At 43.3% G+C, this 24,966-nt stretch overlaps 2 protein-coding genes, 1 long non-coding RNA gene, 1 other non-coding gene and 1 pseudogene across 18 annotated transcripts in view, besides 7 other annotated features; 1 reads left to right on the top strand and 4 right to left on the bottom strand.

Moving 5' to 3' along the window:
* AP2B1 (adaptor related protein complex 2 subunit beta 1) overlaps window positions 1–3,191 on the bottom strand; it is a 139,092-nt gene extending 135,901 nt beyond the window's left edge. For 5 of the 15 annotated variants that reach the window (XM_011524450.3, XM_005257938.4, XM_047435509.1 and 2 more), the window contains exon 1: window positions 2,850–3,191. The gene's annotated coding sequence lies outside the window, so the exon portion shown is untranslated. The remainder of the gene's footprint in view (window positions 1–2,849) is intronic. The other 10 variants (XM_011524449.4, XM_005257937.5, XM_047435508.1 and 7 more) reach the window with 2 other exon arrangements.
* Window positions 2,046–3,245: an enhancer, noted in NCBI's record as "MED14-independent group 3 enhancer chr17:33914287-33915486 (GRCh37/hg19 assembly coordinates)". NCBI's record gives its function as "activates an origin of replication core promoter dependent on BRD2, BRD4, P300/CBP and CDK7 cofactors, and independent of MED14, by STARR-seq in HCT116 cells {active_cell/tissue: HCT116}" and the evidence as "EXISTENCE:reporter gene assay evidence [ECO:0000049][PMID:35650434]".
* Window positions 2,675–2,784: an enhancer, noted in NCBI's record as "active region_12078". NCBI's record gives its function as "activates an Ori minimal core promoter by ATAC-STARR-seq in GM12878 lymphoblastoid cells {active_cell/tissue: GM12878}" and the evidence as "EXISTENCE:reporter gene assay evidence [ECO:0000049][PMID:35858748]".
* Window positions 3,015–3,134: a silencer, noted in NCBI's record as "silent region_8439". NCBI's record gives its function as "represses an Ori minimal core promoter by ATAC-STARR-seq in GM12878 lymphoblastoid cells {active_cell/tissue: GM12878}" and the evidence as "EXISTENCE:reporter gene assay evidence [ECO:0000049][PMID:35858748]".
* Window positions 3,215–3,384: an enhancer, noted in NCBI's record as "active region_12077". NCBI's record gives its function as "activates an Ori minimal core promoter by ATAC-STARR-seq in GM12878 lymphoblastoid cells {active_cell/tissue: GM12878}" and the evidence as "EXISTENCE:reporter gene assay evidence [ECO:0000049][PMID:35858748]".
* Window positions 11,863–12,678: an enhancer, noted in NCBI's record as "H3K27ac hESC enhancer chr17:33904854-33905669 (GRCh37/hg19 assembly coordinates)". NCBI's record gives its function as "activates a minimal SCP1, AML or CMV promoter by ChIP-STARR-seq in naive H9 embryonic stem cells {active_cell/tissue: H9 hESC(naive)}" and the evidence as "EXISTENCE:reporter gene assay evidence [ECO:0000049][PMID:30033119]".
* On the top strand, window positions 11,942–15,718 carry PEX12 (peroxisomal biogenesis factor 12). Its single transcript, NM_000286.3, has 3 exons — window positions 11,942–12,617; window positions 12,922–13,475; window positions 14,332–15,718. Exons 1-3 carry the CDS (start codon window positions 12,492–12,494, stop codon window positions 14,729–14,731), a joined length of 1,080 nt encoding a protein of 359 aa, NP_000277.1. The 5' UTR covers window positions 11,942–12,491; the 3' UTR covers window positions 14,732–15,718.
* SNHG30 (small nucleolar RNA host gene 30) lies at window positions 16,200–22,399 on the bottom strand. The gene is made up of 2 exons (NR_135479.1): window positions 22,012–22,399; window positions 16,200–16,636 (listed from the first exon to the last, which is right to left on the bottom strand). It is a non-coding gene; the product is annotated as a small nucleolar RNA host gene 30 (long non-coding RNA).
* Window positions 16,760–16,856, bottom strand: SNORD7 (small nucleolar RNA, C/D box 7). The gene has a single exon (NR_003037.1). It is a non-coding gene; the product is annotated as a small nucleolar RNA, C/D box 7 (small nucleolar RNA).
* Window positions 22,363–23,045: an enhancer, noted in NCBI's record as "H3K27ac-H3K4me1 hESC enhancer chr17:33894487-33895169 (GRCh37/hg19 assembly coordinates)". NCBI's record gives its function as "activates a minimal SCP1, AML or CMV promoter by ChIP-STARR-seq in primed H9 embryonic stem cells {active_cell/tissue: H9 hESC(primed)}" and the evidence as "EXISTENCE:reporter gene assay evidence [ECO:0000049][PMID:30033119]".
* Window positions 22,533–22,662: an enhancer, noted in NCBI's record as "active region_12076". NCBI's record gives its function as "activates an Ori minimal core promoter by ATAC-STARR-seq in GM12878 lymphoblastoid cells {active_cell/tissue: GM12878}" and the evidence as "EXISTENCE:reporter gene assay evidence [ECO:0000049][PMID:35858748]".
* Window positions 23,644–24,049, bottom strand: RPL39P32 (ribosomal protein L39 pseudogene 32; annotated as a pseudogene).

Here is a 24,966-nt window from a genome sequence, read left to right as displayed (position 1 = left end):
CTCCAAGAAAAATGAAAATAGTGTAAATAAAAACAAATCAGAAGACATGATTGTTGCACAACACTGTCAGTGTACTAAATGCCACTGAACTGTATGCCTTAACCTGGTTAATTTTATGGTACGTGAATTTCACCTCAAAAAAAAATCACATATATATATGATTCAGTGTATCTCTCATATAATGAGTTCTCACCTCATATAATGAGAGATACACTTAATCACATGCTAGATATGGACATAGCCAGAGTCTCCAAAATACAGGATGGCAAAAACTGACGTCTTCATTAGAAGTTACAGCCGGTCGCGGTGGCTCACGCCTGTAATCCCAGCACTTTGGGAGGCGGGCGGATCACAAGGTCAGGAGATCGAGACCATCCTGGCTAACACGGTGAAACCCTGTCTCTACTAAAAATACAAAAAATTAGCCAGGCGTGTGGCGGGCGCCTGTAGTCCCAGCTACTCGGGAAGCTGAGACAGGAGAATGGTGTGAACCCAGGAGGCAGAGCTTGCAGTGAGCCGAGATCGCGCCACTGCACTCCAGCCTGGGCGAAAGAGTGAGACTCCGTCTCAAAAAAAAAAAAAAAAAAAGAAGTTACAGAAAAAGTAAACAAAATAGAGCTAAAGAAAAAAAAAATCTAATATTTGCTGAAGTGCCTCAAAAATCAAGCTGCTCCTATGGGGGGAGAAAATGTTCCTTCAGAAGAGCCAGAGAAATAAGCAAAGCCATGATGGAATTTGAACTCACACTACCTTTCTACCAGATCAAACCAGACAAGTAACGGCTGTTCTGAGGATTTACGGTATGGCCTAAGGCCACTGTTAAACAACAAAGCTGCCAGAGTCAAAGCACATAATCACTCTTACTTGCCCTCGACCAGAGTGTGATGTCACTGCATTTCGGAGAAGGCCTCCCTGCACAGGACTATATATCCAGATTTAACATAACCTAGTTTCTACCAAATATAGGTTGTCAAAGTCCCTCCTCTCCTATATCTCCCTCCAGTTCCCCAAAAGAGAAACTGAGCAGCAAAATAAGATTAATACCTTGGGTAGAATAAGGTCAGAAAAAAATTAATAGGGTCTTAATTCAAATGGCTCTCTGGGAAGCTAAATTAGTTTGTAAAGTCACTAAACCCTTCTTTTCACAAAGTGGGACTTTACAAAGCTCAGTGCTCATAGTGAAAAACTGGCCAAAGTTAACCAAATTATAAAGCAGAAATGTCATTCCAGTAATCTTTTATTATAAAGGTGAGAGGTGCCAAATTCATTTCTAATCAAATATTCAGTAATAATGCAAAGACAATAGCATCATCAGGTATTACCTTGCTCATAAGAAATTATGAGACACAAAAGCTAAAATCACCTGTGATTTCTATTTAAACATAACAGACTACAAAGTAGCTTCTTAATATTATAACGAAGCAAAGGAGTTCAAAAGTTTTACATCTAATTCTTAACCAAAATAACATTAAACTCTGGAAAACCTAAGGCTAGAAGGAAAGAAAGGACAAGAGAAAGGAGAACGTGCCCTATTTAATATATTCCTTGCTCAGCTTCGTTCAAACCTGTGCCTAAAAAGTTAGTATTTCAAAATATGGATCTTTTAAGGAAAGAAAGAATGAAAGAACTGGACTTCCTTGAGTTTCTTCATACACAGTCAGAATATTAGATTTATATTGATTTTACCACCCAGCTTTTAGTGAGGATGTTTGCATTATACATCATCCTTTCTGCTTCCTTGAAAGTTTCAACGGCTAAGATACTGCAAACAGTTCTCACCTTACCAGCACGCTTAGTCATCACTGGAATGTCTTAACACGTTTTCTTATAGAGCTGCACCTCCTTCATCTGCTGCTTTCTATTACTACTTTGTAAGTGTACCCTGAGGCTAAGCAATTGAAGTATACAAGGAAGGTAACTAATCATTTAAATTGATTCTCATTGAGACCACCTTCTTTCTTAGTCATTCTGCCTTTCTAAGCTTAATGCATTTACTTTCTTTTAAACCACAATGGTTATGATAAGTCTTTGGCAGTTTTCAAAACATTTTTTCTTCTCAAAAGTCAAGTTTGGCTGGGCGCGCTGGCTCACGCCTGTAATCACAAAACTTTAGGAGGCCGAAGCGGGAGGATCGCTTGGGCCCAGGAGTTCGAGACCAGACTGGGCTACACAGTAAGACCCTGTCACTAAAAATACAAAAATAAAATAAAATAAAAGTCAAAAGTTTAATGAAGCATCCGCGTGAGTTCAATAAAGGCCTGTCCCCCCCCACCCCACCCCTCCAATAGAAGACTACTCTTGAAAACAAGCAGCATGAACAAATGATTTGGATTCAAATGATAAGGAAATAACAGGACGTTCCAGTTTCTTTACTTTCAGCTTAATCTACAGCCTTTCCCAAACCAGACCATTACTGCAGAGCCCAGAAAAAGAAAAAAAAAAAAAAGATGCTGGGTTAAGATTTGCCCCCATTTGCTTCCCCCTCTCTTACATCGGGTCAATTCTGGAGGTTACTCTTTCCTTCCTCCAAGAGTAAGGAATGCCTCTTCTTTCCCCAGGTGGTCAAGATTCTAGCGATATGCTCCTCCATTACGGAGCAGGGAAGAGGTTGTCTCTTACCCTCAAGTTACCCGAGAGACGACGTTCGCCCATCAATGAGCAAACCTTTGAGGGAATCCCTTTTCCCTTTGGCTTGCTGGACACGTCTCAGCCTCTCAGTGAACGACGCCGAGCGGGGAAGAAAGACGGTTCCCCCCACGGCCTCCAGGCTCTATCAGCCACACCCCTGGCCTCTGGTCCCCCTAAACCCTCAATTCCGAAACACATCTTCCCCTCCTGCCCCCAACTACCTGCTGCCACACCCGAGGATTCCCTCACCGCACCACAGGCATCATGGTAGAGACCCTTTCTCCAACCTTTTCCCTCTCAATGGTCACACCCGACGGTTCCCTGCATCATCAACGGTCACGCTCTTAGGATTTCCTCGCCTCCGCCGGTCTCCGACCCAGCCTGGTGTTACCCTTCTCTCCGTCCCCGACCCCGTCAATTAGGGACACACCCTAAAGGCAACCGCCCTGAACTCACCGGAGGCGGAGGCGAAGGCGAGGGCGGGGGTGGCGGCGGGAGCCGGAGAGCACAGCCCAGGTGGTGGTGTAATGGTTTCCTGCCCGTCACGATTCTTTTCTAGGTCTAAGCCACTGCGCAAAACCCACTTTGCCAGGGACAAAGATGGTGGGCAGGAAACTCTGACGTCAGAGAACGTCGCCGCGTGACGTCATCGGGGTGCGCGGTAGACCTAGAAAGCCTGTGATCTCTTGTCGCCTTCCAGACCCAAAGATTTCCTTTGGTCCCGGCAAGCTAGCCCATCTGGGCCTCAGAGGATGTTAAGTGGCTACTCCAAAGGGATATATTTTAAAAAGCTGACAATGGATTTGTTTCCTCGCACAGAAATTCTCTGAAAAACGTAAACATAGAGATGATGAAATATCCTGTTCCTTTCTGAAAAAACAAAACCCCTCAGCTCATTTTCCTTCCAGGCTCAAGGGCGGACAATGGTGATATAGCCCAGGCCTATATACGGGCAGTGGGGCTAGAGGATAGTGCTGCACGTAAAAGAGGTTGAGGAGGCATTGGATGTGAGTTTGAATCCCTACCCTGAATGTGACTGAGACAGTTAATGTCTCATCAACCTTCTTATCTGTGAAATGAAGACAATGATAGTATCTCTCTCGGGCATGTGAAGTTTAAACCAGATAAATTAGGTAAAGTGCCTAGTATATAATAGGTGTGCTTACACAAAAGTAAGTTTCTTTCGGACACTAAGAGCTAGATTCCAGGACCTGGAACTGGAGAACAAGATTGATGATGTTAAATGAACTAGCTGTCCCTAAGGTTAATTTCAGGGTGTAAGGAAGGATGGAGAGCAAAGTGATGATTTTTCTCACATTTTGCCTATGAACTCTGTGAGTCAAAAAGTGTTTCAGTATTTTAAAACTTCATTCTTAAAAAAGTGATCAGAAGTACATTAAAATTTTGTATAACATACTCATGTATTATTATTTCCTCTGTTATTAAAATAGGGGAATAGGGGAAATTAGAAAGCCAGGTATAAGGTGAGAGAATGCAAACAGTTATGGTAAATCAGATAGCTGCATAATGTTATAGAATATTTTATGACAGAAAATTCATAAAGTGTTAAGCAAAAAAAGGACACCAAACAATACAGTATACAGTATGACTATATATGTATAGAAAAAAAAGGCTAGGATAGGCCAGGCGTGGTGGCTTACACCTGCAATCCCAGCCCTTTAGGAGGCTGAGGTGGGTGGATCACCTGATGTCGGGAGTTTGAGACCAGCCTGGCCAATGTGGTGAAACCCTGTCTCTACTGAAAAAACAAAAATTAGCTGGGGGTGGTGGCACACGCCTATAATCCCGGCTACTCAGGCGGCTGAGGCAGGAGAATGGCTTGATCCCAGGAGGTAGAGGTTGCAATGAGCCCAGATCTCGCCACTGCACTCCAGCCTGAGTAACAAAGCCAGACTCATCTCAAAAGAAAAAAAAAAAAAAAAAGCTTGGATATTCAGCAGAACGTTAAAAGTGGTTATTGCAGGATAGTGAGAGTTTTATTTTTCTTCCTAATATTTTTCTGTATTTTTCAAAGTGTTCTACAATGAACATGTATTTATTTCTATGTTGGGATGTGCCTTTTAAATCATATTGTTGAAAAATATGATACAGAAAAATGCTTTGAAATAAGAAAAAAAAAAAGATACAAAACTCTAAATCCAGAGGAGTATATATACCTATTAGTGGTTCCCTCTGGGTGCTGATTACAAATGTTATCTTCTTTATATTTGTTTTATTTTCCATTCCTTTCTCTGAAAAATGCATATATTTTAAGGAAAAATGAACCAATACTATTTTCAAAATATAGCATCAATCCGAAAGCTTTTCCAACTTCATTCTCTTCCACTTTTGGGTGAAAGTATGGACCAATCTCCCTTCTTTTCACCTTTTGGGACCATCACGGGCTCATAATCTAATGGGAGACCACTCAGGAAACTGTTGACATGATCCAGCCACACGATGATGGTGGTTTAAACAAATAACTGTTGATATTTATTATGATTTTATGTCAGTTACTCTGCTAAGTACATTTTTACATCCGCACCACCTGATAACCAAGTAGGTACTATTACTTCCTCTATTTTAAGAGATACAGAGAAGTTAAAAGGTAGAATTAAGATGGCTGGGCGCGGTGGCTCACGCCTGTAATCCCAACACTTTGGGAGGCTGAGGCGGGCAGATCACGAGGTCAGGAGATCGAGACCATCCTGGCTAACATGGTGAAACCTCATCTCTACTAAAAATACAAAAAAAAAGTAGCAGGGCGTGGTGGCGGGCGCCTATAGTCCCAGCTATTCAGGAGGCTGAGGCAGGAGAATGGCATGAACCTGGAAGGCGGAGCTTGCAGTCACACACACAGACACGCACACACACATACACACACACAAAGGTAGAATTAAGATTTGAACCCAGGAAGTCTGACACTAGGGCTGATAAGGCTTATGTTTTAGGTTAGGGCAAGGGAGGAACGGTGGTACTAGTCACTGAAAATAGGAAAATATAAGAAATGGCAGAAGTTTGGGGAAGAATAGGGAGGTGATGAGTTCATTTTATACGTTAGGTTAGAGTGAAGATCTCTACCCAAGAGGTACTTGATTATATGTGTCTGAAGATAAGGAATGATCTGGAGTTAAATTTGTGAACTGTGAGCATACAGATGATAATTCAATCTGTGGGCATGAACATTATTCATGAAGAATGTGGAGAGTGAGTGCTTGGGGTAGAAACAGATAAACCCAAGAATGCAAAGAGGACTGAGAAGGAGTAGTCAGAGAGGTAGGAGGAAAAGCAGAATAGTATATTTTAGGATGTTTTCAGAGTTTCATGAAAGTAGGGACTATACCAATCTGTTCACTCTTGCACACATGAGGCTAGCCCCATCACACACACACACACAAATTAATATATGTTGACTAAACGCATAAATAAGTGATCAACAATATTAGTTGCCATAGACAGGAGAAGGGCTAAAAAGTGTCTACAGGATTTAGTAACATGGAGGTATTTGATGTTATTGCTGAGAAATCAGTAGAGATATGAAGGCAAAAGTCATACTGCAGATGTTTGAGGATGGATTAGAAATGAGGAAATAAAAACAGGAGTTGCAGATAACTCATAAGAAAGTATGACCAAAGAAAGCAGAAATGGTATCTGAGGAAAACAGTGGCAAGGATTTTTTCTTTCTTGAGGCAGGGTGTTGCACTGTTGCCCAGGCTGGAGTGCAGTGGTGCCATTACAATTCACTGCAGCCTTGACCTCCCAGGCTCAAGCAATCCTCCTACCTAGCCTCCCAAGTAGCTGCGACTACAGGCATGTGTCACCACGCCTAGCTAATTTTCTTTTTTTGTAGAGAGGGGGTCTTGCCATGTTGCCCAGGCTGGTCTGCAACTCCTGGGCTCAAGTGATCCTCCTGCCTTGGCCTCCCCAAATGCTGGGATTATAGGCATGAGCCACCAAACTCAGCCAATTTTTTCAAGTTTAGTTCTATACTCATACATTTTCTCTACACTAACCCTTTAGCATACCATGGTTTTAATTATCTTTCTTACATATATGGCTCCAAAATCTCTTATCTCTAGCCTAGACCTATTCCCCAAATTTCATCACCAAATCGATAACTATACTGCTGGGTTAAATCATAAGGAATGGAGGAGGTTAGAAAAACCTGGTTACAGAGTTGGGCACAGCAGTTTACACCTATGATCCCAGCACTTTGGGAGGCTGAGGTGGGAGGATCACTTGAGCCCAAGAGTTTGAGGCTGTAGTGAGCCATGATCATGCCACTGCACTCCAGCCTGGGTGACAGAGTGAGACCGTCTCTAAAAAGAAAGAGAGAGAGAGAGAGAGAGAGAGAGAGAGAGAGAGAGAGAAAAAACTCGTTCAAGGTACAACTGCTAGCAGACAGAGGTAGATTTCGTAAAGATGTCATTAGAAAAATCTTCAAGAGGCTGGCCGTGGTGGCTCACGCCTGTGATCACAGCACTTTGGGAGGCCAAGGCAGGTGGATCACCTGAGGTCAGGACTTTGAGCCCAGCCTGGCCAACATGGTAAAACCCTGACTCTACTAAAAATACAAAAATTAGCCAGGCATGGTGGCACATGCCTGTAGTCTCAGGTACTAGGGAGGCTGAGGCAGGAGAATTACTTGAACCTGAGAGGAGGAGGTTGCAGTGAGCCGAAATCACACCACTACACTGCAGCCTGGGCAATAAAGTAAGACTCCATCTCAAAAAAAAAAAAAAAAAAAAAAAAAAAAAAAAAAAAAAAAAGGAAAAGGAAAAAAAAAGAAAAAGAAAAATATTTAAGAGCTTTGATTCATACCTCTCTGCTGTTCAAAAACTTTCATCAACTTCTCATTGCCTAACATGTTTGAAAGCTATTCTTCCCCCAGTTTCCTCCATCTATGTGCTTTCTTTGGTTTTCTCATCTATAAAATGGAGGAAGATAGTAACATCTAATCATAATATTGAACAATGAAATAAATTAAATGTAAAGCACTTAGAACTATGGCTGGCATATAGCATGGACTATGGAACTATTTCCTGTAATTGTGATTATTTTAATAAATTGCACTGAGCTGCTCAAGCCAGAAACCTAGGGGTCATTCCTGATTTCCCTTTCCTTCAACTGCCACATCCAATCCATCTCCAGTTGTCAATTCTACCTTTAAAATCTCAAAGCCGTAGCTGGGCGCTGTGGCTCACACCTGTAATCCCAGCACTTTGGGAGGCCAAGGCAGGTGGATCACAAAGTCAGGAGTTCGTGACCAGCCTGGCCAAGATGATGAAACCCCGTCTCTACTAAAATTAGCCAGGCGTTGTGGTGGGCGCCTGTAATCTCAGCTACTCGGGAGGCTGAGGTACAGAACTGCTTGAACCCGGGAGGCAGAGGTTGCAGTGAGCCGAGATTGCGCCACTGCACTCCATCCTGGGCAACAGAGCAAGACTGTCTCAAAAAAAAAAAAAAAAAAAAAAAAAACAACAACTCCAAGCCATCCAACTCCCTCTATTCAATCTCATAAATCCACCATCACCTTTTGCCTAGACTATTAGAAGGCTATAAGTCTTCTCTCTACCATTCTCCACGTAGTGGCCAGGTTGTTTAACTTTTTTGGATGTATAACATACATTTAAAAATGTGCATATCTGGCCTGATGTGGTGGCTCACACCCGTAATCCCAGCACTTTGGGAGGCTGAGGCAGGGGGATCACTTGAGGCCAGGAGTTTGAGACCAGCCTGGCCAACATGGCAAAACCCTGTCTCTACTAAAAATACAAAAATTAGCCGGGTGTGGTGGCACATGCATGTAGTCCCAGCTACTCCGGGGGGTCTGAGGTGGGAGAATCACTTGAACCCGGGAGGTGGAGGTTGCAGTGAGCCGAGACTGTGCCACTGCACTCCAGCCTGGGCTACAGAGCCAGACTCTATCTCAAGAAAACAAAAACAAAAACAAAAATGTGCATATATCATAAATGTAAAGCTTGATATAAATACTGCATACCCACAAAACCATCAGAGACATCTTTAAAAAAATATAAACCTGGCCAGGCACGGTGGCTCACGCCTGTAATCCTAGCACTTTGGGAGGCCAAGGTGGGCAGATCACAAGGCCAGGAGTTCAAGACCAGCCTGGCCAACATGGTGAAACCCCATCTCTACTAAAAATACAAAAATTAGCCGGGCATGTTGGCGGGCGCCTGTAATCCCAGCTACTTGGGAGGCCGTGGCAGGAGAATCGCTTGAACACAGGAGGCGGCGGTTGCAGTGAGTCATCATGCCATTGCACTCCAGCCTGGGCAACAAGAGTAAAACTCTGTTTCAAAAAAAAAAAAATATATATATATATATTTTTTAATATATGTATATATACACAAATATATATACAAATATATAATATATACAAATATATAAATATATATTATATATTTATATATTTTATTTATTATATATTATATATATTTGTATATATTATATATTTGTATATATATTTTTATATATATTTGTATATATATTTTATATATATTTGTATATATATTATATATATTTGTATATATTATATATATATTTGTATATATATATATATATATATATATATATATATATATATATATTTGTTTATATATATACCTGATCACACATCTCTGGTGTGTGAATCCTTCATTGGCTTCCCATTGCACTTGGGCTAAAATCCAGGGTTGTTCCCATGGCCTGTGAGTCCCTGCATGGTTTGGCCTGTCTACCTCTCTAACATCATTTTGTGCTTTTCAGTTACTGCTCATTTCCTCATCATTTCACCTTTTGCCAGTTATAATAGCCCTCAAACACACCAAGCTCTTTCCCACCTTAGGGTCTTCACAATACTCTTCCTTCTGCCTAATATTCTTTTCCCCAACTCCTCATATGGCTGGCTCCTCATAATTTAGGCCTTTGTTATGTCCTCAGAAGGGCATTCCGATTATCACGTCTAAAAGATTTGGGCCTCCCAGACCTCTTATTCGAGTTGCAAATTTCTGTTTTCTTTTTTTTTTTGAGACAGAGTCTCACTCTGTCCCCCAGGCTGGAGTGCAGTGGTGTGACCTCGGCTCACTGCAACCTCCACCTCCCGGGTTCAAGTGATTCTCCTGCCTCAGCCTCCAGAGTAGCTGGGATAACAGACATCCACCACCATGCACCATCATTCCAAGCTAATTTTTGTATTTTTAGTAGAGATGGGTTTTCACCATGTCGGCTGGGCCGGTCTCAAACTCCTGACTTCGTGATCCACCCGTCTCAGCCTCCCAAAGTGCTGGGATTACAGGTATGAGCCACCATACCAGGCCCTACCTTTCCTTTTTCTTTTCTTTTTTCTGGAGATGGAGTCTCGCTCAGTTACCCAGGCTGGAGTGCAATGGTGCAATCTCGGCTCACCACAACCTCCGCTTCCAGGGTTCAAGCGATTCTCCTGCCTCAGCCTCCCGAGTAGCTGGGATTACAGGTATGTGCCACCACACCCAGCTAATTTTTTGTATTTCTAGTACAGACTGGGTTTCTCCATGTTGGTCAGGCTGGTCATGACCTCTTGACCTCAGGTGATCCACCCGCCTCGGCCTCCCAAAGTGCTGGGATTATAGGCGTTCTTATGCCATACGTTTAGTTAACTTTTGGAGTACTTCCATGGGACTATCAATCAAGACATCCTGCCTTCCCCTGGCTAAGAGTGAAAGACAGGGTGGAGAGGGAACTTGAACCAAGAGAGGTCAGTCAAAATTTGTATCACGAGCAGAGTCACAAACAGAAATTGGTGGAAGCTCGTTCACTGCAACAACGTTGCCTGGATAAGAACTTCTAATTCCTGTTAGGCAGTCCCAATAGTATTGTTAAGTTCCTGTTCTTTCAGGGCTGGCTTTACTTATTTTGTGAGCTACTCCATACACTTCTAATAAATTCCGTTTTAGTTTAAATTAGCCTGTTTGTTTCTGTTGCTTGTAACCAAAGATCCCTAAGTGACAAAAATGTTTAATTTCCTGCTTGATTTAGTTGATGCTACCTCTCAACTTTGTATTTTTGCTATTCACTTAAGAAAAGCTTGTACATAACAGTTACTATTAAACAAGCACCTAATATGTATCCAGGTGCTTCATATGGATAAACTATGTCTAGTCTTAAAACTCTGTAAGGTAAAAATCATATATCAATATAATGTCTTTTGGTAGAGTAAAAAACACTTTTTATAACTATAATTAAGGACAATTTGTAAGGTTTTCTCTCCTATTGGAATAACTAAATCCAAACCTTGTTTTTGAGGGTTCTCATTATGCAAACCAATTATTTTTATAACATAAGGGCCTCTAGGGCAGTAAACAATACCTTCTATTCCCAGCTATTTAGCCCAGAGGTGGCACTTCCCAGAGGAAGGGAGGAGAGGTGGAACTCTCATCCAAATTCAATAAGGCTGTGTCAGCCAACTTCAGCGAGACAAAGCTGTACATAACATAAAAGCACTTTACAAACCTTAAGGTAAATCACATTCATTTTGGTATAAAAACGGCATGAAAGGAAACTTTCTGTCAAGTGTCCCCAGTGCATGCTAGTTACAATTCATAAAGCTCCCTCTGCGTTAGTACTGTATTCATATCGCTGGTGGTGACATATACAACTGTGTTCAAGGATGGAGACCATTTTCATCCAGTATAGCAAGTGCATGCAGTTATGCTTGAATATAGCCAAAACCTGGAAGACGTTAAACTACCAGCTTGGATGAAAATTAACCGTCTCAAGTACTGAGGAACAAGCATGAACCTTTCTCAATCCAATCATCTTTCCTTATAATTGGCGGCAATAAATCTAAGGCTCCTATCTCCTGCTATGTCGCTTTAAATCATTTCTGGAAGGCTAAGACATATAAATTAACCACCATCCCTGCCGCACGCGTACAGCAAAGTCCTTTCCACCTCCAGATTCCCTTCCTCCCACCGCCCCTAGCTTCATCGCCTGCAGGAACACAGGGCTCAGCAACGGGCCCGAGCTCTGGCTCCCGGCGCCAGACGTCTGCGCGGTGCCCCAAACAGCTTGTCAAAAAGACCTCGCAGAGAGAGGTTCAGAGCTGTAGCTTTCCAGCGAGGCTACCATGCAGACCCAGCTACGAAAAGTAAACCAAACTAGCCAAAACCAGCCCACAAGGGCCCTCTTCTGTTTCAGCGGGGCGGGAGCGGAAGCTCAGGTGGGTCATAGAGTTCTCTAGTTCTGGTTTCCGGACCGCATTCGGAACTAGAGCGCCTCTCTTCCGCCAGGCATCCCAGAGGTCCTGGTGGTTTCATTTCCGGGTGCGGCTTCTGTCATAAAGCGGAGACCTCCCTTCAAACGTGGCGTCGTGGGTTGTTTGCGCCTCGCCTGGGGTCAGCGAGCAAGGACGGGCGCGGGCGGGGATACTCAAAGCCAACAGCTGGAGTCAGCCCTTGTGTCCCGGGCTCACAGTGGCACGACTGAATCCTCAGAGTCGGCTGGCTTTTGAGCTCTCACGATTGGGGAGGAGGGGGCGTTTCTGGTTCGCAGCTCCAGAGGATTGCGTTCCTTCCCCCATACCTGTCCCCCACAGTCACGCTCTGCCCTGACGTGCAGCATTTGACAAGTTACCCCCTCGCCACATACTACTTCCACCCACGTCCGAGTTAACTTTGTTCTTAACCTTCTTGAGACTACCCTCGGCCTCCAGGTCTTTTTTTCCCAGTTCATTTTTGCCCATAAGATTGAGTTTCGAGTTTCAGATATCATGCAGAAAGTTTACCTTTAAGACTGAGCACCCATCTGATACTCTTCCTCCCGAAAAAGTTCATGCTCACGAGAGAGTTTGTGGGAAAAGTGAAAGCCAGTACACGCAGGAAACTATGGCTGAGCACGGGGCTCACTTCACAGCTGCTTCTGTGGCCGATGACCAGCCATCCATCTTTGAGGTGGTAGCACAGGACAGTTTAATGACAGCAGTGAGACCCGCTCTTCAGCATGTGGTCAAGGTAAGGTATTAATTCTTGGAAAGGTTTTAGGGACAACTGGGTAAAAAACAAACGAATAATTTGTGCTTATTTGGTAGCCTAGCGTTTGAAATAGCCAATTTGCAAATAACTTGTATCCCATGACTTAAGAGTTACTGAGTCTCTGTTATGTGTAGAGACCTGTACTGAATACCCAGCATTTCAGGGTCCAACAGTGACTTATTTAAAACAAATTGTGTAGACTTTAGAGGAAAAGGGGGAATGTAAATAGGTGTAGAACTTGTGTAATGGAATGAATTTCACTTATTGCTTTATTTTGCTTTAGGTTCTTGCAGAATCAAATCCCACCCACTATGGCTTCTTGTGGAGGTGGTTTGATGAAATCTTTACTCTGCTAGATCTTCTGCTCCAGCAACATTATCTGTCTAGAACCAGTGCCTCATTTTCTGAAAACTTTTACGGCTTAAAGAGAATTGTAATGGGGGACACTCACAAGTCTCAGAGATTGGCTAGTGCTGGTCTCCCAAAGCAGCAGCTTTGGAAATCTATTATGTTCCTGGTTCTTCTTCCCTATCTGAAAGTGAAGCTGGAGAAGCTGGTTTCTAGCCTGAGAGAAGAGGATGAATATTCTATTCATCCCCCTTCTTCCCGCTGGAAACGATTTTACAGAGCTTTCCTGGCAGCCTACCCATTTGTGAACATGGCCTGGGAAGGATGGTTTCTTGTACAACAACTTCGATACATCCTAGGAAAAGCTCAGCATCACTCACCACTGCTGAGGCTGGCTGGAGTTCAGCTAGGTCGACTGACAGTTCAGGATATACAAGCTCTGGAGCACAAACCAGCTAAGGCCAGCATGATGCAGCAACCAGCCAGGAGGTAAGGCCTTAACATTTCCAAAAGATCTTTAGTTAGTAAATTCGAAAATCGTATCCCAGTTTTGTAAAATTCACCTCCCTGTTAACTTTGTGGCATTTCATAGAGTCATAGAAAAGCTATTCCTTGTGTCCATAAAACAAGGACTGTCATCCTGGTAACCTTCATCATTCTAGGTATACTTTAGTGCATACTTGCTATGTCCCAGGCCCTGTGCTAGGTGCTTGCTTTACGTACATTATCTCAATCCTCAACACAACCCAATGAAGTAAATGTATTAGCTCACAGTTGAGGAAACTAAACCCAAGCAGTTAAGTACCTTGCCAAAGTCACGTAGGTACATAGAAGGTGGCAGAGCTGGGATTCAAACCAAACCAATACAATTCTAAAGACTGTGCTCTGTGAGCCACTGCACCCAGCCTAAGACTGTGCTCTTAATCATGATGCTGTGCTCCTTCTAGTTCATATTTGTGTTCTCCTACAAGTTCAAATATATACATTCCTCAATACTGCTAAGTTTTTTATTAAGTGAATTGGGTTTTTTTTTTTTTTTCTGGATCACTATCTTCCACTAAAAAAAGGGAGGTCTATATAATCAAATTCTCTGATTTATCTTTCAAAACACAAAACCAAACCCTAATCATGTTACTAAAAACAAAGCTTAGCTCCTATGCTCCTAAAATATTGTAAGTTAGAATCACTTAGAATAGATCCTTAAGGAGATAGTACCAGTCTACCAACCATTCAGTCCCCCAGTGATTCTGATGAAAAATGTAAGAATTGCATTTATATTAGTCACTTTGTAATGATACCTAAATAAAGTTTCTCTCTTTGCCTCCTTGTTCTTTTCTCCCAACAGTGTTAGTGAGAAGATAAACTCAGCTCTGAAGAAAGCTGTTGGGGGTGTTGCCTTATCCCTGTCTACTGGCCTTTCTGTGGGTGTATTCTTCTTGCAGTTCCTTGACTGGTGGTACTCATCTGAAAATCAAGAAACCATCAAGTCATTGACTGCCCTGCCTACTCCACCACCACCTGTACACCTAGACTATAACTCTGATTCTCCCCTCTTACCCAAAATGAAGACTGTGTGCCCACTGTGTCGTAAAACCCGGGTGAATGATACTGTTCTTGCCACCTCTGGCTATGTGTTTTGTTACCGCTGTGTGTTTCATTATGTGAGGAGTCACCAAGCTTGTCCCATCACAGGTTATCCAACAGAAGTACAACATCTGATTAAACTCTACTCCCCTGAGAACTGAAAGGGAATCATGTCTTATCCTCACAACAAAAGTATTGCGCTGTAATGTCACAGAGCTGGTTTCAGCATGGTATTGAGTTGACACTTCTCAGCCTCAATTCATAACTATATGAACTTTAAATGATTATATGGATTTCTTTAAAAGGATATGCCCATTTGATCCTAACCTTTTAGCCTGCTCTCTAGAACCCTACTTACAGTTGACCAAGCTGCTTAAAGTAGAAGGATCAGGACTGGCAGGGGATATGAGGGCCAGTGTAGAGATTAAACAGAATAATGAGTACACAAGTTTTTGCCTATCCCTTTCCTTAAAATATAAGAAATAAAGGAGCTCTTACGAAAAACCCAGGTTAGACCGCATAAAAAATAAAGTGAACAGTGAGGTGGTAGCAAGACTTCTTTTTAGAAAAGAAAGCATTTACCTGCCTGTCTGTAAGGTGGAAATTTCATCAGTTTGCAAACGATAAGAAATGCAGACTTGCTCTTGATAGAAATGCTTAGAAACACTCTGGGGGGGAAAAAAGCTCCTTCCATATACTGTGAGACATTTGTTAAGTGACATCTATTGTTTATCAGCTTTTAAGGATAAAAAAGGTATTTTAAAAGTTGGATATTTAGGATATTTGAGGATATTCCTTTATGAGCTCTCCATATCCTTCTTGAGAAACTGGTTAAAAAAGGAATAGGGGTTGAGTGTTACAGAGAGTAGTCTGAAGATTCCTGTGTAAAAGCAAAGCTAACAAGCAATGAAGACATGAAGCAAAATACTAATCTAATTGTGTAAAGAAAGGATATTTTAATAAGTTCTTTCTGCTTGCTGCTAAGAGTTTGCTAAAGTGTCATGAATTATTCTGGTTATTACTAAAGTTTCTATGAAACACTTAAGTAGATTTTAAGAATAAATGTTTCTGGAAAAGAACTATGTTATGATTTTGTAGAAATGTAAAGATTACTTGAGGTGTTTAAAATAAATTTTTCATTCAGACTACCTTTGACTTTTTGAGGTGTTTTTATATTTAACATTTTGCCAATTCAGTAGTTGGAACAAAAATCCTCTGCTCCGACAACAAGAATTCAGCCTCATGCAAAATACCTTGCATCAACTTAAGAAACACTTAAGTTGCCTATGTAGGAGCATTTATGCCATTGGATTGGTAGACTGGTGAAAACATGGGTTAAAAAAAAATCATCACTAGAAGAGGAAGGATGAAAATGATTTTTAAGAGCCTCTGCTGACATAAGTGTTTTCCAATACTTTAACTCATTTTACCAGTTCAAAGCACATTCTCTGATAGCACAAAGGTGATAAAGCTAAAATTTTAAATAGAATATCCCATGGATTTTAACATTAAGACATTTATGATGTTAGTTGAGACAATAAAAAAAATTAAAACTTTTATATGCCATAAGAAAAGTATAATGAATTTTAAAATTCTCATTAAACCTCAAAGGTTTTACCAAAGCAAATATCATGGTTAATTAAACATTTTTATTTATTTATTTTTTTTTTACTGAGACAGAGTCTCACTCTGATGCCAAGGCTTGAGTGCAGTGGTGTGATCTCGGCTCACTGCAACCTCCACCTCCTGGGTTCAAACAATTCTGCCACCTCAGCCTCCTAAGTAGCTGTGATTACAGGTGCGTGCCACCACGCCTGGCTAATTTTTGTATTTTTAGTAGAGGCGGGGTTTTGCCATGTTGGCCAGGCTGGTGTCGAACTCCTGACCTCAAGTGATCCGCCTGCCTTGGCCTCCCAAAGTGCTGGGATTACAGGCGTGAACCACTGTGCCTGGCCAATTAAACGTTTTTAATACAGTAATAAGTGAATAATAGAATTGAGCCAGATTCAGGATTGAAATGATGTAGTCCTCCATGAAGAATTCAAAGCAAGAGTTTTCATCTCAACCTAAGGAGGAAAACATGAGAATATCAGTAATTCAAAAGAAAATAAAAGAAACATCTTAAACATAATAAAACCAGTGTCCAAACAGGATACAACACACCTGTGTGGAAAAACCACAATCAGAATCAGCTCAGAGAGAAGATTAAGAGATCATACCCTGGTCAAAGCCAACAGTGAAGCAATGGCAATACCAGGTCAGGCTCTACTTCACTCATCATCGCATCGCTGCATTTCATCTCCTTGTATTACCTAAGAGCAACCCAGTGCCCTAGTTTCACATCCAAGAAAACATAGGCTTACCTATGAAAAAAAATAAAGCCTTCTATTCAGGTAAGTTTCAACCATGGGTTTCTAATTAATATTTCTTTCTTTCTTTTTTTTTTTAAGACAGGGTCTTACTCTGTCACCCAGGCTGGAGTGCAATGGCCTGATCATGGCTCACTGCAGTCTCAACCTCCCCAGGCTCAGACGATCATCCCACCTCAGCCTCCCAAGTAGCTGGGACTACAGTCACAGGCCACCATATCTGGCTAATTTTTGTACTTTTTGTAGAGACAGGGTTTTACCATGTTGTCCAGGCTGTTCTCAAACTCCTGGACTCAAGCAATCCACCTTCTCCAGCCTCCCAAAGTGCGCGGATTACAGGCGTGAGCCACCATGCCTGGCCTGTTTTCAATTAATATATATATATATTTTTATTTTGAGACAAGGTTTCACTCTTGTCAACCAGGCTGGAGTGCAGTGGTGTGATCATGGCTCACTGTAGCCTCAAACTCCTGGGCTCAGGTGATCCAACCAGGTAGCTAGGACTACAGGTGCATGTCCACCATCCCTGGCTAATTCTTTTTAAATTTTTGTAGAGACAAGAGTCTCGGTATGTTTCCCAGGCTGGTCTCAAACTCCTGGCTTCAAGTGATCCTCCTGCCTTGGCCTCCCAAAACCCTGGGATCACAGGCTTGAGCCCATAAGCCTGCCCTTAGCCTAGTTCAAAAGCAAAAGCTTTAGAAAATATATTTTCTTTTTAAAAATTTCTTTATTTTTTCTGGAGACAGGGTCTTGCCCTGTCACCTAGCCTGGAGTGCAGTGGCACGATCATGGCTCACTGTGGCCTCAAACTGCTGGGCTCAAGCAATCCTCCCACCCCAGCCTTCTGAGTAGCTGACATCTCAGGTGAGCACCACCACGCCCAGAGTCTTGCCATGTTGCCCAGGGTGGTCTCAAACTGCTGGGCTCAAGTGATCTTCCCTCTTTGGCCTTCCAAAGTGCTGGATTACAGGTGTGAGCTACTGTACCTGGCCTAGAAAATATTTTTTTTTTTGAAATGGAGTCTCACTGTGTCGCCCAGGCTGGAGTGCAGTGGCGCAATCTCGGCTCACTGCAGCCTCAGCCTCCCAAATAGCTGGGACTACAGGCATGTGCCACCACGCCCAGCTAATTTTTGTATTTTTAGTAGAGATGGGGTTTCACCATGTTGGCCAGGCTGGTCTTGAACTCCTGACCTCAAGTGATCTGCCAGCCTTGGCCTCCCAAAGTGCTGGGATTACAGGCGTGAGCCACCACACCGGGCCTAGAAAAGATTTTCTACTAAATTTCTTTATAAACTCCAGTTCATTTAATATGCAATTTGATTTATAATTCTTCTGCCAACAAAGATTAAAATTATAGTCATAAAAGTTTTTAAACTAGAATCTTTTATCTGAAGAGTCCAAGAACCCAGAGAGGCTATGATTTGCCGAAGATCCATAGGAAATTAACTGCAGAGCTGGAAAGAGAACTTGAGGTATGATTACCAGATTTATATTTTTTCAGTAGCAACTAAATAAAAGGTTCAATTTCATTTTTCTCTAGGGTACTACCTTTAGATTTACTAATGAGGAAGGACATGGAAGATAAAGCAGGGCAAAGCATGGGTAATTCACAATCTGAAAAATCAATTTGTGAATGAGAAACCTGACCTCCACTCCACTCCACTCCCTCACTCTGTCACCCAGGCTAGAGTGCGGTGGCACAATCTCGGCTCACTGCAACCTCTACCTCCCGGGTTCAAGTGATTCTCCTGCCTCAGCCTCCCGAGTAGCTGAGACTACAGGCGTGCACCACCACACCCAGCTAATTTTTGCACTTTTTAGTAGAGATGGGCTTTCACCATATTGGCCAGGCTGGTCTTGAACTCTTGACCTTGTGATCCACCCACCTCAACCTCCCAAAGTGCTGGGATTATGGGCGTGAGCCACCGCGCCTGGCCTCTTTATTTTTTGAGACAGATTCTCACTCTGTCACCCAGGCTGGAATGCAGTGGCACTATCTCAGCTCACTTTAGCCTCTGCCTCCTGGGTTCAAGCAGTCCTCCCACCTCAGCCTCCCAGGTAGCTGGGATTACAGGCATGCACAACCAGGCCTAGCTAATTTTTGCATTTTCAGTAGAAATGGGGTTTTGCCATGTTGGCCAGGCTGGTCTTGAACTCCTGACTTCAAGTGATCTGCCCACCTCGGCCTCTGAAAGTGCTGGGATTACAGGCATGAGCCACCGCACCTGGCCTCTCCAGACTTTCAAAATGATATTGTCAGTATCTAAAATTCTGGGGCCACCATATACTGCCTTCAGCCATCTATAAACATCAATAGACTGATATTCCCTAGTTAAAACTGACAGCTATTGGTCTGTGTTCACTATTCAGCAACTAAGCTCCATAAAGAGGAAAACTAGGTCAGGCGCAGTGGTTCGCACCTCTAATCCCAGCACTTTGGGAGGCCGAGGCAGGCAGGTCCCCTGAGGCCAGGAGTTCCAGACCAGCCTGGCCAACGTGGCGAAACCCCGTCTCTATTAAAAGTACAAAAATTAGCCGGGCATGATGGCAGGCGCCTGTAATGCCAGCTACTCAAGAGGCTGAGGCAGGACAACAGCTTGAACCTGGGAGGCGGAGGTTGCAGTGAGCTGAGATTGCACCACTGCACTCCAGCCTGGGCGACAAGAGTGAGATCCTGTCTCAAAAAAAAAAAAAAAAAAGAAAGAAAGAAAGAAAAAGAAAGAAAGAAAGAAGGAAAGAAGGAAGGAAGGAAAGAAGGAAGGAAGGAAAGAAGGAAAGAAGGAAAGAAGGAAAAAAAGAAAGAGAAAGAAAGAAAGAAAGAAAGAAAGAAAGAAAGAAAGAGAAAGAAAGAAAGAAAAAGAAAACAGAGGCCTCAGCCTCTGTTTAAGCATTCAAGCATAACCATTGTGTAACAGGCACTTCATCAGTTACTTTCCCTCTTTTGAGACAGAGATCAGAGCTTAATAACTTAAATAAATCTGCCAAAAATAATGAAACTTGTGAGCAAAGCCAAGCTCTGAACCAATGAGTGCTTGGCTCTAAAACCCACGTTCCTTCTGGCAGACAATACTGCTATCTCAATGGGCCTCCTGCCTCCAGTTTCTCTCCCATCCAATGTACTTTGAATCTTACACACATACTAACCCTTATATATGGAGGTGTGATTACTCACAAGCATTCAGTTGCTCCCCATAGTCTAGGAAATAAAGTCCTAACGACTTTGTTTAGCAATCAAGATGTTTCAAAACAGACCAATATTTATCCTTAAATACACCATAAATAACCCAAACATGTCTTTTGTTTGTTTGTTTGTTTGAGATAGAGTCTCGCTCTGTCGCCCAGGCTGCAGTGCAGTGGTGCAATCTCAGCTCACTGCAAACTCAGCCTCCTGGGTTCAAGCGATTCTCCTGCCTCAGCTTCCCAAGTAGGTGGGATTACAGGCATGAGCCACCATGCCCAACTAATTTTTGTATTTTTAGTAGAGACAGGGTTTCGCCATGTTGGCCAGACTGGTCTTAAACTCCTGACCTCAAGTGATCCACCTGCCTTGGCCTCCCAGGTGCTGGGATTATAGGTGTGAGCCACCGTGCCGGGCCCCCAAACATATCTTACAGTCTAATCAACCCAGATTATTCCTTAGTCCTCATATTGGCTCTATTTGACCTTATGCCCTCCATCTAGAAAGTCTTTCCCCCTGTGTAGAAATCCTTCCTGTACTTCAAAATCCTATCCCTGCAGTTTGCAACCCTTCAAAATGCCATCTTTTGCATGAAGCCTTTTTTCATCAATCCAACAGGAAGTATCTGTCCTCCTTCTGAATTATGAAAGCACCTTAATACCTGTTTTGTGGTACCTATTTCACTTTGTATTTTAAGATCCAGACAGCCAGACTACCATGTAATTCAAGATCTTTACAAGTTGAACTCCCTATCTGCTTCATCATCAGCTGGGCAAACCTCCCATGTGCTCCAGCCACATGCGGCAGGTACATTTTCCTAGTTCCTGGAGTGCTTTCTCCACCCCTTTCGATGGGGAGAAAACCTGAGTATACTTTTTTTTTTTTTTTTAAAGATTTTTAACATTATTTGGATTCTTAGTTTGTGGGAAAAGAGTAAGATAGACACATCTAGATTGTTATATAGCTCAGGCTTTTTAAGGGGGATATTTAAACATACAGTATATAACTTTAAAATGCCCAGGTGTGGGGAGATTTGCCTTATCACTCAAAAAAAGGGTCAAGAGTAATCATTCCAAGTTTAGGTTGAAGTGGGTAAGATTACAGCCAGAGATTAAAAGCTCACACATCCATAAGCAAGGTCCCAGTCAGGCATCTGGAAGGGCAAAGGGATGGCTCTGTGCTGGCTGAGTAAAAGGCGCTTTCATGGAGGGATAAATACCCACCCTAAGTATACTTTTTAAACTTTACTCAAGGCCGGGAGCGGTGGCTTTGGCCTGTAATCCCAGCACTTTGGGAGGCCGAGGCGGGTGGATCACGAGGTCAGGAGTTCAAGACCAGCCTGGCCAACATGGTGAAACCCCATCTCTACTAAAAACGCAAAAATTAGCCGGGCGTGGTGGTGTGCGCCTGTAATCCCAGCTACTTGGGAGGCTGAGGCTGAGAACTGCTTGAACCCGGGAGGCGGCGGTTGCAGTGAGCCGAGATAGCGCCACTGGACTCCAACCTGGGAGGCAGAGCGAGACTCCCGTCTCAAAAAAAAAAAAAAAACAAAACAAAAATAAACTTTACTCAAATATCACTTTCTGTTAAATGTCCTTAATTCCTTCAATCATCCCCCTCTTCTAACTCTCACAGCACTTTCTTCCACTACGGCACGCATCACACGCCAACTACTCACCAGTTCACGTTTTCCGCCCTCTCTCCCACTTGCCCAATCACAGAGTTCCTAAAGAACCAGGACTATGTTCTACTAGTCTTTGTAGCCACTGCACTCGGAATGGTGCCTAGTACATAGGAATGAGCGTTTAATTCATTGAATGAGCGACTCTTCCTACTAAACCCTAAGCTCCTAGATTATAAAAGCATCAACACAAGTTATAAATCCGACTTACCTCCAACATTTCACGTAGGTAAAGACCATACCTCAAGCACCTCCAAGCCCTCATTTCCCCAGCCTCTACCTCATGGCCCTCTGCACAGCCATCTGCGCACAACCAGTGCTTACACACAGGAGGCCCTCAAAATAATACTAATAATCTAAGGTCCAAATCCCACGAACTCCCGGGAAGACTGAGAGTGAGGCTGGAGCCAAGGCTTGAACCAAACACCCAGGAAGGAATCTGCAGCCCGCTTTTCTAAGTCGTAAAACTCCTACGACCTGGACTCTCTCAGGAAGCCTGCTCCGGCCTGAGGAGGATGGAGGTAGCCAAGCTCTCCAGATTTCTGTCCCGGGCCAAAGGTGCTTCCAGCTTCCCTCTCCTTTGCTTCTCCGCCCGGCTCAGGTCTTACAGCCTAGCGCGGCTCTCGCCGAACAACCAATCCCACGGCGGCCATCGGGTCACGTGGGCGCCCCTGAGGCGGGGCTGGTGGGAGGAGCAGCCAATCGAAGGCCGAGGCCAACGTCAGGGGTGGAGCAAAAGGGATGGCGGACGCATCTTTTCCGTCACTTCTTTGCGTCGCGGTCTCTATCCTGAGAGACCAGTCGCTTTCCAAGTTCTGAGCAATTCTCCCCCGCCCCCTCCACAATTCCTCGCCGTCGGCCGTCGGGGTGACTGTTAGGCAGAGTGGTTTTGCCTGTACCCTGTTTCATAACTGGGAATGAGCATTTGAGGCAGGATTATAGTGTGTGTGCCCTGGGATTGCGGGAAGAAATGGTTTTGGGTTTTTTTTTTTTTTTTTTTTGTGACAGGGTCTCACTCAAGTCGCCCAGGCTGGAGTGCAGTGGCGCGATCTCGGCTCACTGCCACTTCCGCCTCCCAGGCTCAGGCTATTCTCCTGCTTCGGCCTTCTGAGCAGCTTGGATTACAGGCAGGCGTCACCACGCCCGGCTGATTTTATTTATTTATTTATTTATTTATTTATTTATTTATTTATTTTCCTGAGATGGAGTTTCGCTCTGTCGCCCAGGCTGCAGTGTAGTGGCGCGATCTCGGCTCACTGCAACCTCCGCCTCCCAGGTTCAAGCGGTTCTCGTGCCTCAGCCTCCCGAGTAGCTGTATTACAGACACCCATCATCATGCCGGGCTAATTTTTGTACTTTTGTAGAGACGGGGTTTCAACGTGTTGGCCAGGCTGGTCTTGAACTCCTGACCTCAGGTGATCCTACCGCCTCGGCCTCCCACAGTGCTGGGATTACAGGCGTGAGCCACCGTGCCCGGCCTCAACTGTGTTTAGATTGGTGGGGGGCAGAGAGCGAAAGGAGGGAAAGCTATTGCAATGGTCCAGGTGAGAGCTAATAGGAGCTTAAATTAGATTGGCAGTGGAAATAGAGGAGTGGCATATGAAAGGCGAATGAGGATTGTGATGAATGTTAGACAGGAATGGGTAAAAGGACATGAAGAAGTAAAATGGAGAGTCTTCTGTACCAGACCCACTCAAGGCCTCTTTCGTTCGTTAAGGATTGGAGAGATTAGACAGTGAAGACAATGTGCCTTTGCGCGTGCTATTTCCTCTACCTGGTTTATCTTTCTCCCATCCATCTCCCTTTCTCTCAACCTGTTGCTTGCTTGCTTTCTTTTTTTTTTTTGAAATGAAAGGTCTCACATATTTATTACTGAACTCAGCCAACCAAAGCGTTCATAACAGATTCAGAGAGAAAAAATATGTCCCCAATAAAACATGTCCAACTCTCCAGATAGTGGTGACATTTTCAGGTTGATATGATAATGTGATTGTGACCTTCAGACATCATAAATACGTGTGCCATCTCATGTGCAATTCCTTATAGACCCAGCTTGGTTCTTCTCCAATGTCTCCTTTTGGAGTTGTACCTGATTTTATTACCAATTTTTATCTGAATCCACTGGGGAATGGGACGATTTTGCTTTTGTTTCTTGGCCAGGAATTGCTTAATCCTAAACGTCTTGTGAGAAGACATGGCAAGAAGCAGAGTCAAGCACATACCACGATGGCGGAGAAAGGAAGAGAGGGGGAAACCTGTTGCTTTCTTACTTACAGGTTCCAGCTCACAAATCATCTCATCTAGGAAATCTTTTCTGATGCTCACTCATAGTTATTGTCACTCCTCAGAACACCTAGAGAACACTGCTCATACATTGCAAACTCTTTAGAGTGGTACTAGAGCGTAGTGGTCATGTATGTGGACTATTTTGGCAAGTAACTTGAATTCTTTGTTCTTCAGTATCACTATTTGTAAAAAGGAGGCTAATAATAGCATCTACCTAATAGAACTGTTACAAGATCAATGACAACAATGCCTAATACATAGAGTGCTCAGTTGATGTTATTGTGTATGTTGTATTGTTATGAGTTGTTTAGTACATGTTTTCCCTCTTTAGATTGTGAATGATCTCAGCTCACTGCAACCCCTGCCTCCTGGGCTCAAGCAATTCTCCTGGCTCAGCCTCCCAAATAGGTGGGATTACAGGCATGCACTACCACACCCGGCTGATTCTTTTATTTTTAGTAGAGATGGGGTTTCGCCATGTTGGCCAGGCTGGTCTCGAACTCTTGACCTCAAGTGATCCACCCACCCACCTTGGCCTCCGAAAGTGCTGGGATTACAGTCGTGAGCCACCGAGCCCAGCAGGGACGTGTGTCTTATTCTTCCAGCTAATAGTAAGGCTTTCTGGCAGGATGAGAGTAACTGGGCTTTGGATTCAGATAGGTCAGTGTTCAGCTCTCAGCTCTGCCACTTGCTAGATGTGTAACTTTGTGCTTTACCTCAATGAACTCAGTTTTTTTCATTTATGTAATGTGAAAATAACACTTCTTGCAAGTTATTCTGAGGATTATATTTGAGAAGGAAAGTTGCATATTTGGCTCAAGGAAGGCAGTTACTAAATAAGAGCTTTTATTTTGATGGGTAGCCCCAGATTGTAGCACCA

This window comes from Homo sapiens, chromosome 17 (genome assembly GCF_000001405.40).
Source record: "Homo sapiens chromosome 17, GRCh38.p14 Primary Assembly".
Classification (NCBI taxonomy): domain Eukaryota; kingdom Metazoa; phylum Chordata; class Mammalia; order Primates; family Hominidae; genus Homo; species Homo sapiens.
This window is presented reverse-complemented; position numbering and strand designations above follow the sequence as displayed.